This window comes from Homo sapiens, chromosome 1, assembly GCF_000001405.40.
Source record: "Homo sapiens chromosome 1, GRCh38.p14 Primary Assembly".
Lineage (NCBI taxonomy): Eukaryota > Metazoa > Chordata > Mammalia > Primates > Hominidae > Homo > Homo sapiens.
Window position 1 is genome coordinate 115,184,592 of NC_000001.11, and position 9,857 is coordinate 115,194,448.

The following is a 9,857-nucleotide window of genomic DNA, read 5'->3' on the forward strand; positions in this document are numbered from 1 at the left end:
GTACCATTGGCTGCTGGGCATGTGTGTGACTGCACAAAAATAGCTCTGTGAGTCCCCATTCTTGGGGCCAAAGGAGAAACACCTACTCACAAACTGCCCTTTGCTTTTGTGGCCTGGAGGGGTTTCTGGAGGTGAATGAGATTAGGAGTAGTGACAGGTATGGAGATGAAGCTGCTCTATGCTTTTGGGAAGTGACACCTGCCTGGAAATGTTGACGGGGTCCTTTTTTCTAATTAGCATGCTTCAGTTTACTGTGTGCTGTGCAGGAAATAGAAAGCACACGTCAGTGCTGAGGAAAGGAGAGTGTGACTAAAGCCTTCTCTTAGGTTTTGGGGAGGGCCTGATTTCCAGGTATTTCAGTGCTTAATGACAGACTGCCTTTCTGTTCTAAATATGAAATGGAACATTTCGCCACCATCCAGGCACACTGGAGCCTGAGGTGGACCTCCCGCCCTGCTTCTCCCAGTATGGCAGTGTAAGGAGTGGCCCTCAGACAGAGACTAGTTTCACTTTCATAGGTTTGGTCTTCCCATCTCTGTCCCAATAACAATGACTCAGTGGCAGAAAAAGTGGAGTCATTTCTGAATCCCAGACACACTGCCACATGGGCTCCTAGTTAGTGGACAATCCAGGGAGTAGCTGGCGGACCGTGAGGGAGCCAGCTGTGTGGCTAATGTGGGAGGGCGATGCTGAGAGGCAGGGGCTCTGAAAAGCCATGGTGACAGGGGAAGAGAACCTCTCTGTGAGGGGTGTGTGCACATGCCCGTGTAGGTTTTTGGCCAAATAATGCAGGGTAATGAATGCTCTCACATCCTGGGTTTCCAGGCTGTGCTCTGCTCTCTGCTTGGCTTAAGGTAGACATGTAACCGAAGATTGCTCCTAGGATGGGCAGCGCTTACTCTGGGTGTTTGCAGACAAAATGCCTGTTAGCATTTTGTCTGGCTCTGGAGCCCTGAGCCAGAGACGCCAACATCTCTTGGCTGGGCAAGTGGCTTCCTGGACTGTGGAACTGAGTCCATAAAAGGAGAATTTATGAACAAACAAGAAAACCTGTCTCTTTTCTGCAATGTTGAAAAAATACATTTTCAACATGATGTCTTCACTGCTGCTGTTTTCTGGTAAACCAGTCAAATTTAGTAAATATACTATAGTTCCATATACTATATATAGTATATATGCTATATACTATAGTATATAGCTATAGTATACAAATATAGTATATAGTATATAACTATAATATACAACTATACTGTAGTTCCCCACTGAGTCTACAGTGGGGTCACCTCCCACCCCCCTACCCCGACTGCCTCCAGCAAGCTGTTTGTACTTCTCATTTTGCACATATCACATAAAATGCAAAGCTTGGGGGCATTTACATTTGTCTATGTCCTCAGTATGGCTTGATGAAGAGAGTTTGAGCTTTAGAGCCAGACAGACTCAAATTTGAACCAAAATCCAACTTTTCAGTGGCCGTGTGAGCTTGAGAAGTCTAGTGAAATTTTCCTTGTCTGGCTTTCCTTCTCTGTAAGATAGAGCCACTCTTATTTCAGGATGATAGTGAAGATTAAGTGGGGCAATGCATAAACTGTAATTCTACTGCAATGAGAGGCCTGGCAGAGTGTAAGCCTCAGACTTCATATTAGTACCCATCTCTCTCTCCACCTCCAACTAGATGGTCATTCCTTAAAGGCAACATGGTATCATATGCATTTGTATTATCTCTCTTCTTGCCCAACACTTAATCCATTGCCTTGTATCTAGTAGGTACTCAAATAATGAAGGAACACATTTTATTTTAACTTCAAAGTGGAGTGAGAAGTGGACCAAAGGTCAGGTGAAAGGAATGTCTAATTGGACTAAAGCCTCCCTACTTGAAGTGGGGGTCAATGACCATCAGCATCACCGGATAACTAATTAAAAATGCAAAATATCAGGCCCCACCCCACAGCTACTGAACCAGAATCTGCATTTTAACCAGAGAGCCAGGTGATCCATGTGCATGTTGAAGTTTGAGAAGCCCTGGTCTAGAATGTTGTGCCAATAACCAGGTACTAAATAAATAAATGAAGGAGTAAGATTAGGAAGCTAGCAAAATAACTGATTAGAACACTACTGGTTTTATTTAAAAGGAAAAAATCTATTAAATTGAAATATAATACTAAGAATTTCAAGACCAATGGCAATTTTATGCCAATTCTAACAGACGTTGTCCTTGGCTATGATTCCGCAGCTGCAAACGTGGACTCTCTGACTTGTGTTTCCCTCTCCCTCTCTGAGCCTCTGTGAGCTCTTCCCTTCTGTTGCCCTCTGCAGAAGGCCATCTCTACTCCCTAGGTCTGGGAGCTACTTGGGGTCTCCCCAGTGAGCCCATATGCCAGGACGCTCTCAGTTACCATGGCTGCCTTCAAGTGCCCAGTGGGGATCATGCTCTGCTTTCCACAGAACGTGTATTGTTCTTGTTTGGATCACTGCCCTAAATTCAAGCTCATTCAAAAGTGCCTTTGAGAACTTGGCTCTCTCTTGCATCTGTCCTTCAGAGTTGTGTGTACCTGGAGGGCAGCCTGGGGACCATTGCTTCCAGGAAGACGAAGCATCCCTTTGTGTCTGTCTGTCTTCCTTCTGGGTGGGGGTGCGTAACGTTTCCTGCCCTCTTCTTTTGGATTGTTGCTTGGCAAATCATTTCATCAAGTCATCTGCTTGAGCTCTAAACTCTGTGGCCGCCTATAAAAACTGTTTCCCAACGGTGGTAGAAACAAAGGTATGAGCACCTGTGGATTCTATCTCTAAAATATCTCCCAAATGCCTCTGCTCTCTGCCTTGACCACCACCACCTCTCTGGGCCACCACCTTCTCCTGCCTGGATGACAGCAGTACCCTCCTGGCTACATCCCTGCAAGCTGTTCTCCCCATAGTGAGTCAGAGATCTTTTCTTAAACATAAATTGGGGTGTCTTTTTCCTGCAGAAAGCCCCCAGTGTCTCTGCACTCCCCTTAGAATGAGATCCAAACTCCTTCTGGTGGCCTCCAGAGGCTGCTGTGACCAGGACTGTCTGGCTCTGGGGCCCTGTCACCTCTTCCCTGTCTAGTGTGCTCCTCTTCCAGAAGGATTTGCTGCTCTTCCAGCATCTCACACCCACTCAGCTCTTTCTTGCCTCACCTGAGATGTTCCTTCCACAGACAGGCCTTCCTATCACCTAGTCATCTCTCCTCAGCTCCTTCCTTCATTCAGCCATCACTTTTCTAGCTGTGTTATTCATTCATTGGCTTTCTCTTTGTCCATCTCCCCTACTAGACTGTAAGCTCCATGAAGGTGGGAAGGTGCCTGCTGATTCAACAATGTCTGGAATGGGGCCTGGCACATACTAGGTACTCAATAAACACCTGCTGCATTGAATGCATGAGCCTATTGTGTGCTAAGTGTTTTCTGCTGAAATTCCTTTTCCCATATTGATTTTCTTCACTCCTCTGGGTGCCCTCCATCAGGTGGATGGACTTCCTTCATGAGGACTTCCTAACCCACTATAGCCTGGAATCATCTTCTGTCTTAAGATCTACTGTCATCCTATTCATCAACAAATCTCTCACCTCATTAAAATAGCTTTCCCGCTCCTCCCCTGCACACCCACACTCACATGTACACACACCTGTTCTTTCTGTGTTGGCGGGACGTTGTTATTCTTAGGGGGTGGTAAGGAACAGTGGTTAAGTGTCCAGGCTCTGGAGCCAGACTGTCTGGGTTCAAATCTTGGCTCTGTCAATTACTTGTTGGACAGGTGATTTAACCTCTCTTTGCCTCAGTTTTCTCATCTGTAAAGCAGGGGCAATGCTAGAACCTTCCTCACATGGTTGTTGTGAGAATTAAGTGGATTAAAACATATCAAATATATAGAACAGTGCTGGGCACATATTGAGCAGTATAGAAGTACTGGGTATTATTGTTATTTAAATGAGGAAGAAATGATTTTGCACTGTGAGATTCTCATGAAACTGGGTTTTCAATCTAGATTTCTCCTAGACTGAAGGCCTTTCTACTTTCATTATGGCTGCTAAAGGATTCCTTTGGAACACATTTTCCCTGGCATCTCTTAGGGCTTAGTCTGGTTAAAAGAAGAAAGAGAATTTAGGCATGAGCAAAAACTTGATGCCATTTAGCAACTTGGGTCAATCTACTGACCCCTGACTGCCAGCTGAAAACAGGAGGCCAGGACTGGCTGTGGTTCCCAGGACAGACTGACAGGCAGAGGGGGGGCCATCCCAGCAAGTGATGCCATGAAGGTGTCTGCCCACACATCCCCTTCATTCTCAGTGGCAGTGGGGAGCTGGCCTTCTCTTTCCTGGAAGCTTTCCTCCCTCTATCTGTCCTGCAGCCTGCTGAAGTCTTGATGGCCCTGCTCTTATTTTGGGATTAAATCTTTTGGGATTTGTCTTAGTTTAGTTGCACCTCTCTTGATCTCTCCCACCACATTTTTCTTCCTCTCCCCTCCCCCTCTAACAGCTGAAATGTCTCAGCCTCTGGAGCAGACTCATGGTGCCCCCTGCTTCCTAGCCCTTCCTGAGATAAGAGTCAGCGGGGGCAGAGGTTAAATACACGGTTTACCAGGCTTTTTTCCTGGAAATTCTAGAGGCCTGGATCAAACTCGGGGAATCCATACCTTTAAGTGCTCCTGGTGACTCTTATCTTCAGGGAAGCTTGGGAGTCACTGCCCAGGGCTTGCCCATGTTTTTAATTCTCCACAGATTCTCATGGTTTCCTCCAGCCCAGTATGCGTCTCATGGCTTTGACAACAGACAGATCTTGTTTTGTTACCTTGTGTTGCTATCTAACTCTCAACAATCTATACCTTTTCTCTTCAAACAATATAAACTTCTGGAGAGTAGGTATCAAGTTTTTTCTTACGTAGTAGGCCTTCAATAAATATTTGGTTGAAGTTTTACATTTTCCTCTCATTATATTCATTTGAGGTGAACATTGAAATTCTTTCACTTAAGCACCATCAAAAGGGCATGAAGGAAAGGGCTTAGAAATATGTGAGGCAGGCCGGGCACAGTGGCTCACACCTGTAATCTCAACATTTTGGGAGGCTGAGGTGGATCGCTTGAGCCCAGGAGTTCAAGACCAGCCTTGGCAACATGGTGAAACCTGGTCTCTACCAAAAATACAAAAATTTGCCAGTCTCATAATCCAGTCTCAAAATAAATAAATAAATAAATAAGTAATAAATAATCAATCAAAATTTAGAAATAAAATTTAAAAATTTTTAAAAAGAAATGTGTTAGGTAAAAGAGGCATGTTAATTTGTGATTATATATGCCTTACATATTCAAGGTTTGACTAAGTAACTTAAATGAAAACATCTCTGGTGTCTGGAATAACTTGCTGCTGTCTAAAAGTAATGAGTCATGGACAGAGCGGGCAGGGATGTGTTACCTGAAGAACTTCACCAATTCTTGGCTCCACCATGAATTGTATGTGTGACCTTAAGTGAGATGTGTCTGCAAACTAAGCCTCAACTTCCTCATTCTAAAAAAGTTAAATTCCGACATCATTGAGTGCTTGAAGTCGAATGAGATACTGTGTGCAGAATCATTTTATAATCTGTACAGTGCCATACAGAGGGTAGGAATTACCCTTAGTCATCCTTACAGTTAGTTTTCCAGCTCACCTGCCTTTCTGCATTCCCTCATGGCTTTCCTATCTGAGTCATGTAACTAAATTTAAATGCTATGCTAGGGAGCCTAGGAAATCTACTTCCCAGCAAGAGCTATAAAACCTCACATCCTAATTGACGGAGACAAGGAGGAACAGTGATTCAGAGGCAACTCTAGGGGAGCAGCCAGCTCAGGCCTGAAAACGTCTCCTTGGATGGGTCTGCTGGGGAATGGGAACAGATCCATTCTAAGCTTTGGTTTATTTCAGAGAGGAATTTAGAAACTGGACTATGATTGGAGAAATGGTTAACATCCATGAAAATATACAAGATTTTCAGATGGCAATGCTTACAATCTCAACAACAACAAAAAGCCATAGCAGCATTACAGCAAAAGGGGGCTGTTGTCCTCTAAGTGAACCCTTAGAAAGTCAGTTTTCTGAACTTCATAAGAATATATTACAAGAGGCAGTTTTCAGAGTTCTGTAAGCTTTGGCAGGGATGGGCTGGTACATGTGAGAAAAAAGCAACAGATTTAAAAAATCTGTACAAACACTGATAGAAATAAACTTGCTGCTTGTTGCAACGTACCCATGCCATTAGAGATTTTGCCCTTAACATCTCTCTTTTAAATCTGACTCCAGGAAATAGGTTTGGAACCTGATCAATCCCATCCTTGACTCTGCCATCCTTCTCCCAGAATTATAAACATAAGATTATTACAGCGCATTTCCTGCATGTGCCTTCCATGTGGCTCCAGTCTCCACCTCACAAGTGTAGCAAGTAAACACTCCCCAAGTCTAATTCTGAAGTGTAGCCCATATGCTGTGGTCTTGATGAGAAGGGCTGGGGACCAAGGGTGCAGAAAGTGTATATACTGCGAGAGCTTGCACCTTAAGGAGGGAAAAGGTCTCCTGGTGGCAGAAGAGGCATCCTTCCTTCATTTCTTTGCATGTTTGGTTGGTATGTGGGAGCTATGAAGGAGGGTTGAAAATGTTTTCTTTTCTTTCTTTCTTTTTCACAAATCTATTTCAATCCATCCCATTCCTGGAAAAACCACAATCCTCCAGCAGTCTCTAAGTCCTTCACTTTTGAAAAGCACATGGCTTCCCTGCTACCCCTTGCTTCTGTGAGTCTGGCTGGAACAGTAATTAATTTCTGTGTAAATGAGTTTGGGGCTGAGGCTTTCATTAATGTGTTAGGGCTCCAGGGTCTTGTGGTTTGACACCATTTGAGTGCACAAACTGTTAGCTTTAAACATTTTCAACAATTTTCCTTCCTCTCCTGAATCTCATATGAAATTCATTTCCCAAGGAACTGACCAAGGACCTCTGACCTCTTGCCTCAATTGCTTAAAGGCCTCCAGTTCTTTTTCTTGGCCTTTTACTTGGTATTAAAAGGTGAATTGAACTTCAAAGGGCAGTAAGCCGGATGCCTTCTTTCCCCCATGAGGGGCTGGTTTTCTCTTATTTGTCTGCACTCTGTATGAATTCAGGTTGGTATCCATTTCCCCTGGGCCTCAAGCTGTTTCTACTGCTATACCCAGATGCTTGGGTGCAAGGTTCTAATTTGTGTGATTTGCTGGTCCCAATGCTGATATTTGACCAAGTTCCTTGATTTGTCCTGGTCTGGTATGAACATGTGCATATGTGTGTGCACACATGTGTATGTGTGGGTATGTGTGCATGTGCATTGTGCATGTGTCTATGTGGGCATGTGCGTGTGTCCTCCGTCAGCACCAGTAGCACACTCTAGACCTGCGCTGTCCAATACATGTGGCTATCAAACACTTGAAATGTGGCTGGTCCTTGTTGAGATGTGCTGTGAATGTAAAACACACACCAGATTTTAAAGACATAGTATGAGAAATAGAAATGTAATATATCTCAATAAGTTTTTACGTTGATTACATGTTAAAATGATAGTATTTTGGATGTATTGGGTTAAACAAAATATATTATCAATATTAATTTCACTTCTTTCTTTCACTTTTGAAAATGCGGCTACTGGAGAATGCAAAATCACATATATGGCCTGTATTATATTTGCACTGGACAGTGTTGATCTAGATTGCCAATTGAGGCCCTAAGTCATGTTGTTGCTGAGTCATAGGCTTTGACTTCACTTGCTCTGGTATCCTCCAACCTTCAAGTTATGCAGCACGTGAGTAGCTGAGCTTCCATAAATCACGTTTCATAACTTGGAGCTGCAGAGGACACTTTGTATGTGTCTTTATGATCCCACCTCATGTTTCCTCCGGCATCCCTCTACCCTGACCAGGCTGGTCTCCTGTGCACGTGCTCATGCACAGAATGAGAGACTAGTGACCATAGGTTTGGGGCCAGAAGGAGGCTGCTGGTGACTCATACCTGCTTGGTGGCCCACACTATACCATAGGTGTTGATATGGTTTGCCTGTGTCCCCACTCAAATGTCATCTTGAATTGTTGCTCCCGTAATCCCCATGTGCTGTGAGAGGGACCCAGTGGGAGGTAATCGAATCATGGGGGCAGTTTCCCCCATGCTGTTCTCATGATAGTGAGTTCTCACAAGATCTGATGGTTTTATAAGCGTCTGGCATTTCCCCTGCTGGCACTTATTCTTTCTCCTGCTGCCCTGTGAAGAGGTGCCTTCCACCATGATTGTAAATTTCCTGAGGCCTCCACATGCAAGTCAATTAAACATCTTTTCTTATAAATTACCTTGGGTATTTCTTCATAGCAATGTGAGAACAGACTAATACAGGTGTATTAGTCCTGCAGAGTACCCATTCGCTTCTCACTATGTCTGGGTTGGACCACTTCTCTTTGATATTGACATACTTAGAATGTGGCTTAAGGGCTTTAAAGATTATCTAGTCTTATCTTTTCATTTTACAAAAAGGCACTAAGACCCAGGAGTACAGTGTTAGAGGGAGATGATTATAAGCTTAGACTTTGACAGAGGCGGCTTCAAGCTCAAATCCTAGCCCTGCTACTTCTTTGCCAGTCTCCAGCACAGCACTCCCCAATCTGTACTGCAATGATCTCCTCAATCATCTGTGTCCCTCTGAGTACTGTAGGCTCCTTGAGGACTGGGTCTGTCTCTTACACATTATCATAGTTCTTTTGATTTTTCAACAGTGTGTTAAAGATATGCCATATGCCAAGCCTGTTGTAGACTCTTGGGATGCATCAGGGAGAAAAACAGAGAAAGCTGTTGCTTATGTGCAGCTTATATTCTAGCTGTGGGAGATGGATACCATGTTGGAAGGTTGTGTGGGTTTCAGTTTATGCACAGTCCAGATCCACACACTTACCTTGTCTTGCAAGAGCAGCCCTGGCAACAGCTTCCTCTATCCCTGCAGTCCTGGGGCTGCTGGTGTCTCCTCTACCCACTGCTGCCATTCCTGCAGGCTCAGGGGACACTGTAAAGATTGCTCCGTGCCTCTTGTTGCTCACATGCAGGGTCCATATCTCCTCACTAGCTGCCTGAGCTGCATACCTCTCCACTCTCACCTTCTGCCCTGGGGCTTCCTGATTGACTCTTAGGTAAGGGATCGAGTACAACCCTTGTTCTCATCACCTGGAAGTATGAGAAAACCAACACCCACAGGGCCAACTTTGACCAATGGGAGTAAGATATTGAAGATACGTTGTTTTCTCTCCTTCCCCTAGGCAGACAGTGGAGACAGATTAGTCCCTTTCTGAAGATGTCTTGTGAGACCCAGCCAGTAGCTTGTTACAGAGCGGTGGTCATTTGGAAACAACTCCTTTATATTTGCTCTTCGTTTTTCCCTCCTTACTCCTCTATTCCCTCCTTTCTGCTTCCCTGGAATTCATCCCTTTGAGCTATGTTTTCTAGAGATCCCTGCCAAGGCAGTAGGTGCTAAGTGCGATGGAAAAAGCAAACCCAGAGCAGACAGGCTCAGAATGGGGATCAGGAGTGCCGTGGAGGGTCTGCAGTTTCAACAGCACTGTCAGTTTAAGCCTTGTTGAAAAGGTGATATTTGAGCAATGAATGAAGAAGCTGAGGGAGTTAGCCACTCTGGGGAAAAGGTGTTCCATCCAGTGCAAGGGCCCCAAGGCATGACTGTGGGAGAGTGGAGACCAGGGGTTTTGTAGAAGATTAGGTCAGGGAGGTGGGAGAGGGGGTCATCTTAGGTCTTCTAGGCCATTGTAAGGGTGAAATTGGAGCCTGGGTGGAGTTTTGAGCAGCTCTGGGACTTGGCA